Genomic DNA, 18,335 nt, shown 5'->3' on the forward strand with positions numbered 1-18,335 from the left:
CACTTTATTCCACATAGAAAGAACCTGTGTCCAAGTCCTAGCTTCCCCACGTTCATTTTTCAAACAGTGATCAAGTACCTTTGGGATGCCAGACCCCTAACCATGAGGTGACTTCCATGTGAGTGGGATCAGATCCTTCCATTAGCCTCTGCACGTAAGACATGAACCCTCACCGGGAGACTGTAAGAATTACACAAGATAATGCGATGCTATTCACACCCTTGAATGGCATGATTACAGCAAACATTGTGTAGATGACCTTGCCGACTTCAGTCCCTGTACCTCCTGGTTAATTCCCTGTTAATCTTCCTAAAACATCGATTTCATCATGTCTCTCCCTTACTCAAGAACTCCACATTGCTCCCCAGTTCCACGCAGCATCGCTCCCCGGTTCCACTCAGCATTCCTCCCCGGTTCCACGCAGCATCGCTCAGTGCCCCACAGGTGTGAGTGTTCTACAAATCACAGCAGCCCTTAGGGGATGATTCACCACAGTAGCAGAGTTGGAAGTTGGGTCTAGAAGGGCCAAAAAGCCAAAACACACAAAAAGCCACAGCGAAGATAGGTCTGTGGGTTAAAACTCAAGGAAATTCCATGCCTAGAAGACAAGGCAGTCAGTATGTCAGAAATCAGGGAAGCAGGTGAAGACACAGATACAAGTCACCCTCAGCAAGGATGCCAATCTGTAACTTCTGCAGAGACGGGCTTGTCCATAGAAAAAAGGGACGTTCCTGGAACATTTGCTGTAGTTATCCAAGACACCTCACTATCAGCAGACCCAAAGAAGGTGACCGGGTGGTTAGGCCCAGAGGAACACTCGCAGGGGAACGCAGGGCACCTACGAGGTGAGTACAGCTTCTACGGTCTCACCAACAGCACTTCTTTGTTACTGGGATGCAGAGGAAACGATTATAAAAGAATAAATTTAGACCGGGTGTAGTAGCTCACGCCTGTAATCCCAGCACTTTGGGAGGCTGAGATGGGCAGATCACCTGAGGTCAGGAGTTTGAGACCCACCTGGCCAACATGGTGAAACCTCATCTCTACTAAAAATACAAAAATCAGCTGGATGTGGTGGCGGGCGCCTGTAGTCCCAGCTACTCAGGAGGCTGAGGCTTGAGAATCACTTGAACCCTGGAGGCAGAGGTTGCAGTGAGCCGAGTTTGCGCCATTGCACTCCAGCCTGGGCAACAGAGCGAGACTCCATCTCAAAAATAAATAATTAAATAAATAAATAAATAAAAATTTGAAGGGTAGAATTGAATCTGGGTGTGAAGTTTGAAGGAGGGAATGTACATTCTCAATGGGAGAGGGATTTTATGTTACAGCTGAAAAGGCCTTAGAGAACATCAAGTCTAACACTCACTTAGCAGTGAGGACACAGGCTCTGAGAGGTAGAGTGAGTGACCCACAAACAGCAATTGAAGGATAGAGCAGGTGACCCATGGACTTACAGCAATTGAAGGGTAGAGCGGGTGACCCACGGACTCACAGCAATTAAAGGACAGAGCAGGTGACCCACGGACTCACAGCAATTAAAGGATAGAGCAGGTGACCCACAGACACACAGCAACTGAAGAGTAGAGCGGGTGACCCACGAACACACAGCAACTGAAGAGTAGAGCGGGTGACCCACGGACACACAGCAACTGAAGGGTAGAGCGGGTGACCCACGGACACGCAGAAATTGAAGGGTAGAGCGGGTGACCCACGGACACGCAGCAATTGAAGGGTAGTGACTGCAATTGGATTAGAATCTCCATGACCAAGATAGAAATCCAGGGCGCCTACTCTACTCTACTCTCTCTCTCACCCGACTCCTGAACCCTCTAATACACACATAAATACCATGCTGAAGCTGCGCTGCAACAAACCCAGACGCGAGAAAAGTATGTTAGTGAATCTTGGGAATTTACATATGGGGATTGTATATGGCCCTGTCTTGATTTGCCTGGTTATAGGTGATGAAAAAGTACTTTGGCCAGGCACAGTGGCTCACGCCTGTAATCTCAACATTCTGGGAAGCTTCAAGGCAAGAGGATTGCTTGAGGCCAGGAGTTGAAGACCAGTCTGGTCGACACCCCATCTCTACAAAAATAAAAGAAAAAATTAGCTGGGTGTGGTGGCACGCGCCTGTAGTCCCAGCTACTCGGGAGGCTGAAGCGGGAAGATTGCTTGAGCCCAGGAGTTTGAGGTTACAGTGAGCTATGATGCTGCCACTGCACCCCGGCCTGGGCAACACAAGCAAGACCCCTACTCAAGAAATAAAAGAAGCCGGGCGCGGTGGCTCACTCCTGTAATCCCAGGACTATCGGAGGCCGACACAGGAGGATCACTTGAGCTCAGGAGTTTGAGACCAGCCTGGCCAACATGGTGAAACCCTGTCTCTACTAAAAATACAAAAATTAGCTGGGTGTGGTGGCAGGTGCCTATAATCCCAGCTACTCAGGAGGCTGAGGCAGGAGAATCGCTTGAACCTGGGAGGTGGAGGTGGCAATGAGCCGAGATCGTGTCACTGCACTCCAGCCTGGGTTACAGAGCGACACTTCATCTCAAAAAAAAAAAAGTTAAAACAGAGCCATTACTTCAAAAATTATTTTTGATGTAGGATTATGTATCCAGCCAAACTGTTAATAAAATGTGATTGAATAAAGGCCTAAAAAATATACAAGATCAGCTGGACACGGTGGCTCACACCTGTAATCCTAGCACTTTGGGAGGCTGAGGTGGGTGGATCACTTGAGGTGGGAAGTTCAAGACCAGCCTGACCAATATGGTGAAACACGGTCTCTACTAAAAATACAAAAATTAGCCAGGCATGGTGGCAGGTGCCTATAGCCCCAGCTACTCAGGAGGCTAAGACAGGAGAATTGCTTGAACCCAGGAGGCGGAGGTTGTAGTGAGCCGAGATTTCGCCAGTGCTTTCCAGCCTGGGTGACAGAGCAAGACTCCGTCAAAAAAAAAAGAAAAAGAAAAAGAAAAAAGAGCTAAAGCCACATTTCCTGTTGCAGAAAATCAACAGATAATATCTAAAACTGGAAACATTTTAAGTTATTTAGAAATAAAGAGATAAACGCCAAAAGAAACTGCTAAAAGAGTTGAAAACCATGGCTTCTAAGGACTGGGGAAAGTCAGAGCTATCCTTTATTATAAACCTTGAAGACTATTTGAGTTTTTAAAACTATGCATAAGTATTTTATTGATAAAAATCAAAATTAATTAGAAAAACAAATCTTTTTAGCTTGAAATAACTGGCATTAACATTAAGGAAACAGTGGTCAGCCGCGGTGGCTCACGCCTGTAATCCCAGCACTTTGGGAGGCCGAGACGGATGGATCACTTGACCTCAGGAGTTTGAGACCAGCCTCGCCAACATGTTGAAACCCCATTTCTACCAAAAATACAAAAGTTAGCCAGGCGAGGTGGTGCATGCCTGTAATCCCAGCTACTCGGGAAGCTGAGGCAGGAGAATCGCTTGAGCCCAGGAGGTGGAGGTTGCAGTGAGCCAAGATTGTGCTACTGCACTCCAGCCTGGGTGACAGAGTGAGACCTTGTCTCAAAAAATAAAAAATAATGCTGCTTTCTGCCTGCATACTGAGTCCTTCTCATTTAAAAACCAGTTATGTATAACTATGAATATATGACACTCTTTTTACATGTTCTATCATGCAAATGGATTTTTAATTTGGCATGTTGAGATCTATCGTTGCTGAAACATAGTTCATTTTAACCTCCAGAGATACACGATTGCATGAATATACAATTTTTCTCAATCCTCATTCAGGGACATTTTGAGTGTTTCCAATTTTTTGCTGTTACAAACACTTCTGTGATGAACATCTTGTATACACGTCCCCTTGTGAGAACACGGATGGACCTCTCTTCCAGTTTAACTAGGCTGCAGGCATAATGTGCACTTTCAGATACCGTCTGCAACGCCAAACTCTTTTTCCAAAATGCGTATATCAGTTTTCACTGTCACCATCAGCGTTTATGAGTTTGTGGGAGATTCTTACCTTCTTTTTCTTACATTGATTAAATTTATTATGATGATTTTTTTGGAAACGGAGTCTCACTATGTTGCCCAGTCTGGAGTGCAGTGGCTATTCACAGATGCGATCCCACTACAGTGAGTTTTGCCCTGCTCCATTTCTGACCTGGGCCACTTCACCCACTTTAGGCAACCTGGTGGTCTCCCCATCCTGAGAGGTCACCATATTGATGCCGAACTTAGTGCAGACACCCAATCAAAGTAGGGCACAGCTGCCCAGAGCTCCTGGGCTCAAGCCACCCTCCTCCTCAGCCTCCCAAGTAGCTGGGATTACAGGCGTGCACCACCGCACCTGGCAAGATTCTCAGCTTCTTTGAGACCGAGATTGGTGTTTTTCCTTCAGAGCTATTAAAGGCGGCTGTGCTTCCTGTTTTATAGACACTTTTCCTGCAGCCTGAGGCCATTAAATTGGCACTGAGAGTCTGATGCCATCCTTGGGCCTGGTCCTCACTGGTGCAGGGTTTTTCCCAGAGTTTATGCCACCCGGTAAGAGATGGGGTGGTAGGAATCCACACCCATGGGGTGATACCCTCGGGCCTCTAAGCCTCCCGCGTGCACTGACAGACAGCATTTCTGACATTCAGCTCTATTGTTCCCTATTCCTGTTTCTCGTTAGTTTCCTAGAAGGCAGAAAAGGTTGCCCTTCTCCAATAGGAACGCTCAGCGTTTTGATGACTCATCATTTTGCCTTTCATGGGCGTAACGGCACAACCTCTTTGCTACACTGCATTGGTCTCCAGAATTTTCTGTTCCTTTCCTTGAAGGCCACTCTGGAAAGCTTCCAGCATCAAGTTGGACCTGCTCCTGTGATTGGTTCTGATGCTGCTCCCCTGCCGGGCGCCACCCACCTCCTCATCCCGGTCAATTTCCCGAGTTGGAAGGGAGCTCGCCTTTCAGCCCTCCACCTTACTGGAAGCATTCTGCATATTAATTATGTGCCCAGACACTTAACAAATCCTTCCTTCTACAAAGTGTATGCAAAACGCCGCATCCACACCCAGAAGCACTTGCCACACATAACAGAGGAGCACTTCCGTCACCCAGGAACACGGCTCTGATCAAGGAATTCAAGAACCCAACAGAAAAATACAGAACAGAAACTACTGCGATAAAGCTCTAATACCTTGATTGGAGTGACAGTTACTCTTACATTTTTCAAAATTCATAAAGTTTACATTTAAGATCTGTTGCGGGGCGAGGGGGCGAAGCGGGGGAGAGCATCGGGACAAATAGCTAAGGCATGCAGGGCTTAACACCTAGGAGACGGGCGGATGGGTGCAGCAAACCGCCATGGCACATGTTTGCCTGTGTAACAAAACCTGCGTGTTCTGCACATGTATCCCAGAACTTTAAAAAAAAAAAAACTGTTCATTTTGTTGTATGTAAAATATACTTTAATTTTTTTCTTAATGCAGTAGGGTAAAAGTAGGCAGTCCTAGTAGTGGCCATAGTATAAAATGATGAATAACTGTCAATTTCCTTCCTTCCAGGTGTAGGAAGGTACATAAAATCAAAGATACAGGACAATCCTAGGCATTGGAGGAATAGCAAGTAAAAACCTAATGCTAAATGACGAGTTAATGGGTGCAGCACACCAACATGGCACATGTATACATATGTAACAAACCTGCACGTTGTGCACGTGTACCCTAATACTTAAAGTATAATAATAAAAAAAGAGATAAACTTCATGATACATAAAGCATATCTCAATAAAGCTGTTGAAAAAAAGGTAAAAAAGAGCAAGTAAAAATAATAGTTATAATTTGAAAATGTTATATATATCAGGCATTATAATAATGCTTTTTACCTGCATTATTTCAATTAATCCTTGAAACAGTTTTTTGAAGTAGATACTTCTCATTCAATACATATTGACTTTCTTCTATGCGCTCAGTATTGGGCTGGCTGGAAATCCAGGAGTGAGCAAGTCAGATATGGTAGCTGCTGCTTTTTTAAAAAAAGTTTTGAGATGGAGTCTCGCTCTGTCGCCCAGGCTGGAGTGCACTGGTGCGACCTTGGCTCGCTGCAACCTCCCCAAGTTCAAGCAATTCCCCTCCCTCAGCCTCCTGAGTAGCTGAGACTACAGGCGCATCACCACACCCGGCTAATTTTTGTATTTTTTTTTAGTAGAGACGGAGTTTCACCATGTTGGCCAGGTTGGTCTCGAACTCCCAGCCTCAAGTGATCCACTTGCCTCAGCCTCCCAAAGTGCTGGGATTACAGGTGTGAGCCACCATGCCTGGCCTATAGGAGCTGTTTCTAGGAAGCTTAAATTGTTTATTTTATAAAAGAAGAAACTGGCTGGGTGTAGTGGTTCATGCCTGTAATCCTAACACTTCGGGAGGCCAAGGCGGAGGATTGCTTGAGTTCAGAAGTTTGAGACTAGTTAGCCTGGGAGACATAGTGAGACCACGTCTCTATAAAAAAGAAAATTAGCCAGGTGTGGAGGTGCATTCCTGTAGTCCTAGCTCTCAGGAGGCTGAGGTAGGAGGATTGCTTGAGCCTGGGAGGTGGAGGCTGCAGTGAGTTGTGATCGTGCCACTGCACTCCTCCTGGGTGACAGAGTGAGACCCTGTCTCAAAAAAGACAGAAGAAACCATGAGAACCTAAGTAAGTTGCCCAAGGACACACCACGAGTTGATGGCAAAGTCTTTTTTTTTTATTTTGACAGAATCTCACTCTGTCACTCAGGCTGGAGTGTAGTGGCGCCATCTCAGCTCACTGCAACCTCTGCCTCCCAGGTTCAAACGATTCTCCTGACTCAGCCTCCCGAGTAGCTGGGACTATAGGCATGTGCCACCACAACCGATTAATTTTTTTTGGTTTTTATAGTAGAGATGGGGTTTCACCATGTTGGCCAGGCTGGTCTTGAACTCCTGGCCTCAAGGGATCTGCCTGCCTCAGCCTCCCAAAGTGCTGGGATTACAGGCGTGAGCCACCGCGCCTGTCTGCAAAGTCATTATTTTTTGAACCAACCTCCTTATAACTTCAAATACTTTACTCTTAACCACTGTACTAAAGCAGTGGTATTTAAATATCCAATATTCCACCTGCTCCTTCACGTTGTCCAGCTCCCTTGCAGTCAGACAGGGCCACGGGACTAGTTCTGGCCAATGAATCGTGAGACATGACATGTGTCACTTATTTGGCTGAGGCAATAAAGAGCTCTGGGTGATTCTCCAATCTCTTTTTCTCTCATGATGATGGAGAGTGCTGCATATTCTAGATGCTGCTGTCACAAAATGTGGGAAGTTCAGTCATCAATGACCCCGCTTAACAATGTGGACAAGAACTCCTGCCAGCTCTGAGAGGAGGAGGTAGCGTGAATGAAAAACAAGCTTCTGTTCTGTTTGGCCACACGGTGCATTGATGAGCCTGGGGAAGAAACGGAAATCTATTCATACTTTGCTGATGGGAGTATAAGTTGGTCCAACATCTTTGGGGGTCAACCTAAAAGTTACCTAACAAAATTCTAAATGCATAAGCCATTTGATCTAAGAAATTCTATTTCTAGGTATTTGTCCTATGGAAAAACCCCCTACTTGTGCACAAAGATAGATAAATAGATAGAAACATACACACGCACACACACAAATCATAGGTACTCTGTTAAACATAACATGCAGTAGCAAAATAGTTCAACCTACTTAGACGTTCTTTAAAAGGGGAATGATTTGTAAAAAGATACCGCATATCTATGGAATGTCTAATATCCAGTATTTTTAAAGAATAGATTTATTCGTCTAGATATGAATCAGTCAAGATCTGTAATTAAGTGAACAAAGCAAGATGCTATGGTGTATATGTACACTTTTAATTTTACTATTTTATTGAGGTATAATTGATGTGCACTGCACTACACAATTTAAAATAGATAACTTGATGGATTCGAGAGGGGTGCACACTGTGACACCATCCCATCCCCACTATCACATGTCCATCACCTACAAAAGTTTCTTTGTGCATCTTGGGCATCTCTCCCTTCCACCACTGCTCACATCCTCCAGTGCCACTACCTGTCACCAGGCAACCAGCGATTTTCTGTCACTATCAATTAATTTGCATTTTCAAGAATTTTATATAAATGGAACCAATAGTTCATTTTCATAGCTAAGTAGTAGTCTATTGTATAGCTATAATACATTCTGATAGCTATCTGGGTTGTTTCCACTTTTTAAAATATATATATTTAGAGGGTACAAGTGTAGGCTTCTTACGTGCACACATTCCATAGTGGTGACATCTGGGCTGTAGTGCTCCCATCACCTGAATAATGAACATTTTACCCAAAAGGTGGTTTTCCAGCCCTCACCAGCCTCCCACCCTCTCATCTTTTGGGGTCTCCAGAGTCTGTCACTCCATCTGTATGACCATATGTACCCACTGTTTAGCTCTCACTTATAAGTGAGAACATGCAGTATTGCACTCCCTCCCTCCCACCCTCCCACCCTCCTGCCCTTCCTCTCTTCCTCCTCCTCATCTTCTTCTTTCTTCTTCCTCTTCTCTCTCTCTTTCTTCTTTTCTTTGACTGAGTCTCACTCTGTCACCCAGGGTGGAGTGCAGTGGTGCAATCTCGGCTCACTGCAACCTCCGCCTCCCTGCAACCTCTGCCTCCCGGATTCAAGCGATCCTCTCGCCTCAGCTTCCTGAGTAGCTGAGATTACAGGTGCACACCACCACACCCGGATCATTTTTTTATTTTTTGTAGGGACGGGGTTTTGCCATGTTGGCCAGGCTGGTCTTGAACTCCTGACCTTAAGTGACCTGCCCGCCTCATGACTTTCTGTTTCTAAATTAGTTCATTGTTCCCACTTTTGAGCTATTGCAAATAAAGCTTCCATGAACCTCTGAGCACAAGCGTTTGTGTGGATGCAAGTTTTTGCTTCTCACGGATAGCCCTAGACATAGCATAGCTGGTCACATATTGGGTATTTATTTAACTTTTAAGGAAACTACCAAATTGTATTCTAAAGTAGTAGCAACAGTTTATATTCCCATCAGTAGCATGCAAAATTCCAGTGGCTCAACATCCTCACTAATACTTAGTATAGTCTGTCTCTTAAATTCTGGCCCTTTTAACGAGCACATAGCGGCATCTCGCTGTGGCTTCACTTGCATCTCCCTGACCACTAACGACGTTGAACGTCTTCCATGCACTTAGTGCCCATTTGTGCAGCTTTTAAGTCTTTATTCAAATATTTTAAAAATTTAAAAAATTTTGCTTGTCTTATTATTGAGTTATAAGAGATCTTTACCTATTCTGGATCTACATTATTAGATATATGATTTGCAAATATTTTCTTCCCATCTGTGGTTTGCCTTTTCATTTTTTAAATAGTACCTTTTGAAAAGCAAGTTTTTCATTTTGATGAAGTCTAACCTTTTCTTTCTTTCTTTTTTTTTTTTTTTTTCTGAGACAGAGTCTCGCTCTGCCGCCCAGGCTGGAGTGCAGTGGTGTGATCTCGGTTCACTGCAACCTCCGCCTCCTGGGTTCACGCCATTCTCCTGCCTCAGCCTCCTCAGTAGATGGGACTACAGACGCCTGCCACCACGCCCAGCTAATTTTTTGTATTTTTAGTGGAGACGGGGTTTTGCAGTGTTAGCCAGGATGGTCTCGATCTCCTGACCTCATGATCCGCCCACCTCAGCCTCCCAAAGTGCTGGGATTACAGGTGTGAGCCACCGCACCCGGCCGAAGTCTAACCTTTTCTTTTTTTTTGTATTCTACCTAAGAAAGTTTTGCCTACCCTAAAGATTTTCTCCTATGTGTTTTTAATGGAAATTTCATAATTTTAGATTTTACATGTAGGTCTATGCCTTTTTTTTTTTTTTTTTTTTTTTGAGACGGAGTCTCGCTCTGTCGCCCAGGCTGGAGTGCAGTGGCGCGATCTCGGCTCACTGCAAGCTCCGCCTCCCAGGTTCACGCCATTCTCCTGCCTCAGCCTCCCGAGTAGCTGGGACTACAGGCGCCCGCTACCACGCCCGGCTAATTTTTTGTATTTTTAGTAGAGACGGGGTTTCACCGTGTTAGCCAGGATGGTCTCGATCTCCTGACCTCGTGATCCGCCCGCCTCGGCCTCCCAAAGTGCTGGGATTACAGGCGTGAGCCACCGCGCCCGGCCAGGTCTATGCCTTTTTGAGTTAGTTTTTGTGGATGGTATGGGGTAAGGGTCAATGTTTACTTTTTTGCCCCTATAGATATCCAGTTGATCCAGCACCATTTGTTACAAAAACTTATCTTTCCCCATTGAATTGCCATGGCACATTTGTCAAAAATCGATTGGCCATATATGAATGGGTTTGTACCTGGACTCTGTTATGTCAATCTATATATCTATTTTTTTATTTTTATTTTTATTTTTGAGATGGAGTCTTGCTCTTTCGCCCAGGCTTGAGGGCAGCGGTGTGACCTCGGTTCACTGCAACCTCCACCTCCCAGGGTCAAGTGATTCTCCTGTCTCAGCCTTCCGAATAGCTGGGACTACAGGTGCGAGCCACCACGCCCAGCTAATTTTTGTATTTTGTTTTGTATTTTTGTTTTACCATGTTGGCCAGACTGGTCTTGAACTCCTGACCTCAGGTGATCCACCCGTCTTGGCCTCCGGAAGTGCTGGGATTACAGGCGTGAGCCACCGCACCCAGCCTATACATCTATTTGTTTGCCTGTACCAAACTGTCTTGGTTCCTGATGTAGGGGTGGGTTGCCCCTACACACCTGTGGGTGTTTCTCGTAAGGTGGGACGAGAGATTTGGAAAAGAAAAAGACACAGAGACAAAGTGTAGAGAAAGAAATAAGGGGACCCGGGGAACCAGCGTTCAGCATATGGAGGATCCCGCCAGCCTCTGAGTTCCCTTAGTATTTATTGATCATCCGTGGGTGTTTCTCAAAGAGGGGGATGTGTCAGGGTCACAAGACAATTGTGGGGAGAGGGTCAGCAGACAAACACGTGAACAAAGGTCTTGGCATCATAGACAATGTAAAGGATTAAGTGCTGTGCTTTTGGATATGCATACACATAAACATCTCAGTGCTTTACAAAGCAGTATTGCTGCCCGCAGGTCCCACCTCCAGCCCTAAGGCGGTTTTTCCCTATCTCAGTAGATGGAGCATACAATCGGGTTTTATACCGAGACATTCCATTGCCCAGGGACAGGCAGGAGACAGATGCCTTCCTCTTGTCTCAACTGCAAGAGGCATTCCTTCCTCTTTTACTAATCCTCCTCAGCACAGACCCTTTACGGGTGTCGGGCTGGGGGACGGTCAGGTCTTTCCCTTCCCACGAGGCCATATTTCAGACTATCACATGGGGAGAAACCTTGGACAATACCTGGCTTTCCTAGGCAGAGGTCCCTGCGGCCTTCCGCAGTTTTTGTGTCCCTGGGTACTTGAGATTAGGGAGTGGTGATGACTCTTAAGGAGCATGCTGCCTTCAAGCATCTGTTTAACAAAGCACATCTTGCACCGCCCTTAATCCATTCAACTCTGAGTTGACACAGCACATGTTTCAGAGAGCACGGGGTTGGGGGTAAGGTCATAGATTAACAGAATCTCAAGGCAGAAGAATTTTTCTTAGTACATAACAAAATGGAGTCTCCTATGTCTACTTCTTTCTACACAGACACAGTAACAATCTGATCTCTCTTGCTTTTCCCCACACCTGAGAGTTTATAAGCTTTGAAATCAGGTAGGGTAATACCTCTAGCTTTGTTCTTCTTCTTTCCTTCCTTCTCCTTCTTCTGCTCCTACTTCTCCATCTCCTTCTCCAGGCACCAGATACCGCAACATCAGATTAATGAGTGGAATGGACAGAACAAGCTCCTATTCTATTTTCTTGCTCTAGACGCCCATTTAATATATTGTCCTCAGATAGAGGACATATCAAATACTAAACTAATAATATAGACTACACTTAATCTTTGCCGAAAGGCTGAGAAAGAATTGTTCTTCTTTAAAAAAGAAAAAAAAAAAAAAAAAAAACACAACTGTTTCTGGCCGGGCACGGTGGCTCACACCTGTAATCTCAGCACTTTGGGAGGTTCAGGCGGGCAGATCACTTGAGGCCAGGAGTTCAAGGCCAGCCTAGCCAATGTGGCAAAACCCCGTCTCTACTAAACATACAAAAATTACCTGAGTGTGGTGTCAGACGCCCGTAATTCCAGCTACTTGGGAGGCTGAGGCAGGAGAATCATTTGAACCTGGGAGGCGGAGGTTCCTGTGAGCTGAGATTATGTCACTGCACTCCAGCCTGGGCAACAGAGAAAGACTCCATCTCAAAAATAAATAAATAAACAAACAATACAAAATAAAATAAAATAAAAAATTGTAACCAAGCGCAGTGGCTCATGCCTTTAATCCCAGCACTTTGGGAGGCTGAGGTGGGTGGATCACCTGATGTCAGGAGTTCAAGAACAGCCTGGCCAACATGGCAAAACCCTGTTTCTACTAACAATACAAAAATTAGCCAGGCGTGGTGGCAGGCACCTGTTATCCCAGCTACTGGGGAGGCTGAGGTGGGAGAATCCCTTGAACCCAGGAGGCACAGGTTGCAGTGAGCTGGGATCACGCCACTGCACTCCAGCCTGGGCGACAAAGCAAGACTCCATCTCAAAAAATAAAAGCTTCTCTAGGCCCTCCATATTTCCATATAACTCTTAGTATCACGTTGTCAATTTATGTAAAAAAGCCTTGAATTTTGTATGGAGTTGTGTTAACTCTATAGATCAATTTGGGAAAATTTGACATCTTAACAATTGCTATTGATTGAATGTCTTTGCCCGCCTCCCAGATTTACATGTTGAAACCTGATACCCAGTGTGGTGGTATTTGGACAAGGGGACTTTGGGAGATGATAAGGCCATGAGGATAGATCCCACATAAATGGGATTCGTGTCCTTACAACAGAGACCTTAGAGAGCTGCCTCCCTCCCTCTGCCATGTGAGGACACAATAAGAAGACAGCTGTCTATGAACAGGAAAGCCAGTCCTCACCAGATACCAAATCTGCTGCCTCAATCTTACACTTACCAGCCTCCAGAACATGAGAAATAAATGTTTGCTGTTTAAGCCACCTATATTGCTGTAGCAGCCCAAACAGATTAAGACAATCATACTGAATCTTCCAATTCATGAGATATATTTTTGCCAATTCAGAAATGTGGTATATTAATTGAAATCTTTAATTTCTCTCAGCAACATTTTGTAGTTTTCAGCATTAAAAATTTTAACATCTTTTGTTAAGTTTTTTCCTAAGCATTCCATGTTCTTTAGCACTATTGTAAATTAATTTTTAATAATTATTTGATGCCGTTACATAATACAAATGATTTTATTTATTTATTTTTTTGTAGAGACAGGGCTTTGCCACATTGTTCAGGCTGGTCTTAAACTTGTGAGCTCAGGCATTCTTCCTGCCTCTGTCTCCCAAAGTTCTGGGATTACAGGCATGAGCCACGGCTCCCAACCAAGAATACAAATCATTTTAATATAGCAATCTTGTATCCCGTGACCCTGACAAATTCATTTATTCATTCTAGAAGTTTTTGTAAATTTCTTGGGCTATTATACAGGAGCAATCATAAACTTTGCAAATAAAGATAACTGTACTTATTTCTTTTTTAAAAAAATTTTACTTTAAGTTCTGGGACACATGTGCAGAGCGTGCAGGTGTGTTACATAGGTAGACACGTGCCATGGTGGTTTGCTGCACCTACCAACCCATCATCGAGGTTTTAAGCCCTGCATGCATGAGGTATTTGTCCTAATGCTCTCCTTCCCCTTGCCCCCAACCCCCGACAGGCCCCAGTGTGTGATGTTCCCCTCCTTGTGTCCATATTGTTCAACTCCCACTTAGGAGTGAGAACACGCAGTGTTTGGTTTTCTGCTCCTGTGTTAGTTTGCTGAGAATGATGGGTTCCAGCTTCACCCATGTCCCTGCAAAGGACATGAACCCATTCTTTTTCATGGCTGCGTTTAATTAATTAATTAATTAATTATTGAGACAGAGTCTCCCTTTGTCACCCAGGCTGGAGTGCAGTGGCACAATCTTGGCTCACTGCAACCTCTGCCTCCTGTGTTCCAGTGATTCTGCTGCCTCAGCCTCCTGAGTAGCTGGGATTACAGGTGCCCACCACCAAGCCTGGCTAATTTTTGTAATTTTAGTAGAGACGGGGTTTCACCGTGTTGGCCGGGCTAGTCTCAAACTCCTGACTTCAATGATCCCCCCGCCTTGGCCTCCCAAAGTGCTGGGATTACAGGCGTGAGCCACGGCACCTGGTCCAATTCTAACTGTTTCTGATCATTATAGCTTTTCTTTCTTTTTCTAATCTTATCACATTGGCTAGGGCTTTCCCAACAATGTTGAAAAGGTGGTGAGAGGAAAGTGGAGCAAGATGCTCAAGTAGGGCCCTCCAGCAATCACCCCCCACCCCACCCAACCCCCGGCCCCACCCACCCCCACCCCACCCCTGCCCAGGACCACTAAACCGAAAACTCTCAAGTTGAGAAAAAACCTGCATAAGAACCGAAAATCAGATGAACAACTGCAGTATCTGGTTTTCATATCATCTCAAGAAAAGCACTGAAGAGGACAGGAAAGACGATCTTGAAATGCTAACATCACCCATCTCCTACCCCATGGCAGCAGTCCCACGGCATGGAGAGAGAATCCGTGAGCTGGGGGAGGTAGAGCACAGTGATGATGGGACTTTGCACGGCACGGAGAGAGAATCCGTGTGCTGGGGGAGGCAGAGCACAGTGATGATGGGACTTTGCATGGCAGGGAGAGAGAATCCGTGTGCTGGGGGAGGTAGAGCACAGTGATGATGGGACTTTGCATGGCAGGGAGAGAGAATCCGTGTGCTGGGGGAGGTAGAGCACAGTGATGATGGGACTTTGCACGGCAGGGAGAGAGAATCCGTGAGCTGGGAGAGGCAGAGCACAGTGATGATAGGACTTTGCATTGCCACTCGGTGCTGCCCAGTCACAGTGGAAAACAACACAGGGCAGCACTCACAGACACAGCATTTAAACCAGCCCTAGCAAAGACAAATCCTCAATCTCAGTGGTGTGAACCTGAATTCTAGCAAGCCACGCACTGCTGGCTAAAGAGCTCTGGGATCCTAAATAAACTTGAAAGGCAGCCTAGGCCACAGGGACTGCAATTCCTGGAAATACCCTGGAGCCAGTGGACTTGGGGTGCACATGACCTAGTGAGACACCAGCGGGGGCAGCCCAGGGAGTGCTTGTGTCAACCCTCACCCACCCCCAGGCTGCGCAGCTCACAGCACTGGGAGAGACTCCCTCCTTCTACTGGATGAGAGGAGGGAGGAGGATAAAGAGGACTTTGTCTTGCCACTTGGGTACCAGCTCAGCCACAGTAAAATAACTCACCAAGCAGAGTCCTGAAGCTCCCCTGTTCTAGGCCCCAGCTACTGGACAACATTTCTAGGCACATACTGGGCCAAAAGGAAACCTGCTGCCTGGAAGGAAAGGGTCTGTCCTGGCAGCCTTCTTCACCTCCCGACTAAATAGCCCTTGGGCCTTAAATAAATATCAGCAGTAGCCAGGCAGGCAGCACTCACCACAGGCCTTGGGGGAGACTCAGAGCCTTACTGGCTTTAAGTGTGACCCAGCACATCTCCAGCTGTGATGGCCACAGAAAGAGGCTCCTTCTCCTTGAGAAAAAGGGAGAGAAGAGTAAAGAGGACTTTGTCTTGCACTGGAGGTACCAGCTCAGCCATAGTAAATAAAGCAGCAAGCAGATTCCTGAAGTCCCAGATTCCCAGCCTTAGTTCCTGGATGGCATTTCTGCACCTGCTCTGGGCTGGAAGGGAATCTGCCGCCCTGAAAAGAAAGACACAAGCCTGGCTGCATTTGCCACCTGCTGACTAAAGAGCCCCTGGGGCTTGAAGAAACATCAGCGGTCACCAAGCAGTTCTTGCCACGGGCCTGGGGTGGTAGCGGCCATGGGGAGAAGACTCCTGCTTGGGGAAAGGAGAGGGAAGAGTGAAAACGACGCTGTGTTTAACTCGGGGGTCAGCACACCCACAGTAAAATCAAGCACCAAGTAGATTCCAAAAATTCCCAATTCTGGGCCCTAGCTCCCGGAAAGCATTTCGAGATTCACCCTGATTTCTAGACCCACCCTGGGCCAGAAGGGAACCTGCCACCCTGAAAGGAACAAGACAAGCCTGGCTGCATTCACCTCCTGCTCACCAAAGAGTACTTGGGCCCTAAACATCAGTGGGAGTGAAGCCATAGTTGCCGCAGGCTGTGGGAGAGACCCAGCGCTGGGCTGGCTTCAGGTCTGACCCAGCATGGTCCTGAGGAGAGAGGTCATTTCTCTTACTGTCTCCTGTCTCTGAAGAGAAGGAGGAAGTAAAAGCTGAAAAACAACAGGAATGAAGTCAGTGGCAAGACCAGCCGGCGCACTGATGACCAGGCCTGAGGTTAAAGATTAACCCCCGACTCTAACCAGATGTGCTCTCTATAGATCTCAATCTATCACAACCCTTTCATGTGGACCCCTTAGAGTTGTAAGCCCTTAAAAGGGCCAGGAACTCTTTCTTCTAGGAGCTTCGTTCTTGAGATGCAAGTCTGCCGACGCTCCCGGCCGAATAAAGCCTCTTCCTTCTTTAACCCGGTGTCTGAGGGGTTTTGTCTGTAGCTCATCCTGCTACAGTCCCAGTGCTGGTGGCCACAGGAGTGCTTGTGTCGCCCCTCCCCTAACTCCAGACAGCTCAGCATGGAGAGAAAGACTCCATTTGTTTGGGGTAAAGTGAAGGAAAAGAACAAGAGGCTCTGCCTGGTAATCCAGGGAATTCTCCCAGATCTTACTTAAGACCACCAAGGTGGTCCCTCTATGAGTCTGCAAGAGTCATAGTGTTACTGGGCTTGAGGTGCCTCTAATGCAGATGTGACTGCAGTGACAAAAGACTTAGGTCACAACCCTCAGTTCCCTTTGAATACCGGGAAAGCTTTCTCAAGAAGGACGGGAGGCCGGGTGCGGTGGCTCATGCCTGTAATCCCAGCACTTTGGGAGGCTGAGGTGGGTGGATCACCTGAAGTCGGGAGTTCGAGACCAGCCTGACCAACATGGAGAAACCCCATCTCTACTAAAAATACAAAATAAGCCAGGTGTGGTGGTGCATGCCTGTAATCCCAGCTACTCAGGAGGCTGAGGCAGGAGAACCACTTGAACCCGGGAGGTGGAGGTTGCAGTGAGCTGAGATTGCACCACTGCACTCCAGCCTGGGCAACAAGAGTGGAACTCCGTCAAAAAAGAATAAGAATAAGGAGGAGGAGGAAGAAAGAGGAAGGAGAAGGAGAAGGAGAAGAAGAAGAAGAAGAAGAAGAAGAAGAGGAAAAAGAGAAGAAGAAGAAGCAGCTCAGACTTGGTGGCTCATGCCTATAATTCCAGCACTTTGGGAAGCCGAGGAGGGAGGATCACTTGAATCCATGAGATCAAGACCAGCCTGAGCAGCACACTGAGACCCTGTGTCTACAAAAAATACAAAAATCAGCTGGACATGGTGGCATGTGCCTGTAGTCCCAGCTACGCGGGAGGCTGAGGTGAGAGGATCGCTTGAGCCCAGGAGGCTGAGGCTGCAATGAGCCATCATCATGCCATTGCACTCCAGCCTGAGTGGCAGAGTGGGACTCTGTCTCAGAAAAAAGAAACAAACAAAGACAGATGGGTACACACAAGCACAGACTGTGGAGATTACAATAAATAACTAATTCTTTAATGCCCAGGCATTGACCAACATCCACAAGCATCAAGAGCATCCAGGAAAACATGACCTCACAAGATGAACTAAAGAAGGCAGGAGTGACCAATCTCAGAGTGATGGACATGTGAACTTTCAGAGAAAACGCTCAAAATGGCTGTTTAGAGGAAGCTCAGGGAAACTCAAGACAACACAGAGAAGGAATTCAGAATCGTATCAAATATATTTCACAAAGAGATTGAAATAATTTTTTAAAACCGAGCAGAAATTCTCGACCTGAAAAATATCATTGACATACTGAAGAATGCATGAGATCTCTTACCAGCAGAACAGATCAAGCAGAAGAAAGAATTAGTGAGGTTGAAGACAGGCTATTTGAAAACACACAGTCAGAGAAGACAAAAGAAAAAAGAATAAAAAACTATAAAGCAAGAAATAAAATAAAAACAATGAAGCACACCTACAAGATCTAGAAAATAGCCTCAAAAGAACAAATCTAAGCATTAGAGGAGGTAGAGAGAGAGATCAGCATAGAAAATCTGTTCAAAGAGAT

The 18,335-nt window shown here is 46.0% G+C and overlaps 1 long non-coding RNA gene and 1 pseudogene across 5 annotated transcripts in view, besides 3 other annotated features; both read right to left on the reverse strand.

The window, feature by feature from the left end:
- LOC124906253 (keratinocyte proline-rich protein-like) overlaps nucleotides 1-18,335 on the reverse strand; it is a 41,447-nt gene that overhangs the window by 3,702 nt on the left and 19,410 nt on the right. For 2 of the 5 annotated variants that reach the window (NR_197448.1, NR_197449.1), the window contains one exon: nucleotides 6,692-7,429. The exons of 2 other annotated variants lie outside the window; for them this stretch is intronic. This is a non-coding gene — a long non-coding RNA (keratinocyte proline-rich protein-like). Of the gene's footprint in view, nucleotides 1-6,691; nucleotides 7,430-12,182; nucleotides 12,301-18,335 lie in introns of those variants that run through there. One more of the 5 variants, NR_197447.1, reaches the window with a different exon arrangement.
- Nucleotides 9,132-10,100: an enhancer, noted in NCBI's record as "H3K27ac-H3K4me1 hESC enhancer chr3:195652784-195653752 (GRCh37/hg19 assembly coordinates)". NCBI's record gives its function as "activates a minimal SCP1, AML or CMV promoter by ChIP-STARR-seq in primed H9 embryonic stem cells {active_cell/tissue: H9 hESC(primed)}" and the evidence as "EXISTENCE:reporter gene assay evidence [ECO:0000049][PMID:30033119]".
- Nucleotides 10,101-11,069: an enhancer, noted in NCBI's record as "OCT4-NANOG-H3K27ac-H3K4me1 hESC enhancer chr3:195653753-195654721 (GRCh37/hg19 assembly coordinates)". NCBI's record gives its function as "activates a minimal SCP1, AML or CMV promoter by ChIP-STARR-seq in primed H9 embryonic stem cells {active_cell/tissue: H9 hESC(primed)}" and the evidence as "EXISTENCE:reporter gene assay evidence [ECO:0000049][PMID:30033119]".
- Nucleotides 11,070-12,038: an enhancer, noted in NCBI's record as "OCT4-NANOG-H3K27ac-H3K4me1 hESC enhancer chr3:195654722-195655690 (GRCh37/hg19 assembly coordinates)". NCBI's record gives its function as "activates a minimal SCP1, AML or CMV promoter by ChIP-STARR-seq in primed H9 embryonic stem cells {active_cell/tissue: H9 hESC(primed)}" and the evidence as "EXISTENCE:reporter gene assay evidence [ECO:0000049][PMID:30033119]".
- On the reverse strand, nucleotides 11,808-11,994 carry RNU2-11P (RNA, U2 small nuclear 11, pseudogene; annotated as a pseudogene).

The sequence above is a fragment of the Homo sapiens genome, chromosome 3 (genome assembly GCF_000001405.40).
Source record: "Homo sapiens chromosome 3, GRCh38.p14 Primary Assembly".
In the NCBI taxonomy this organism is placed as follows: Eukaryota; Metazoa; Chordata; class Mammalia; order Primates; family Hominidae; genus Homo; species Homo sapiens.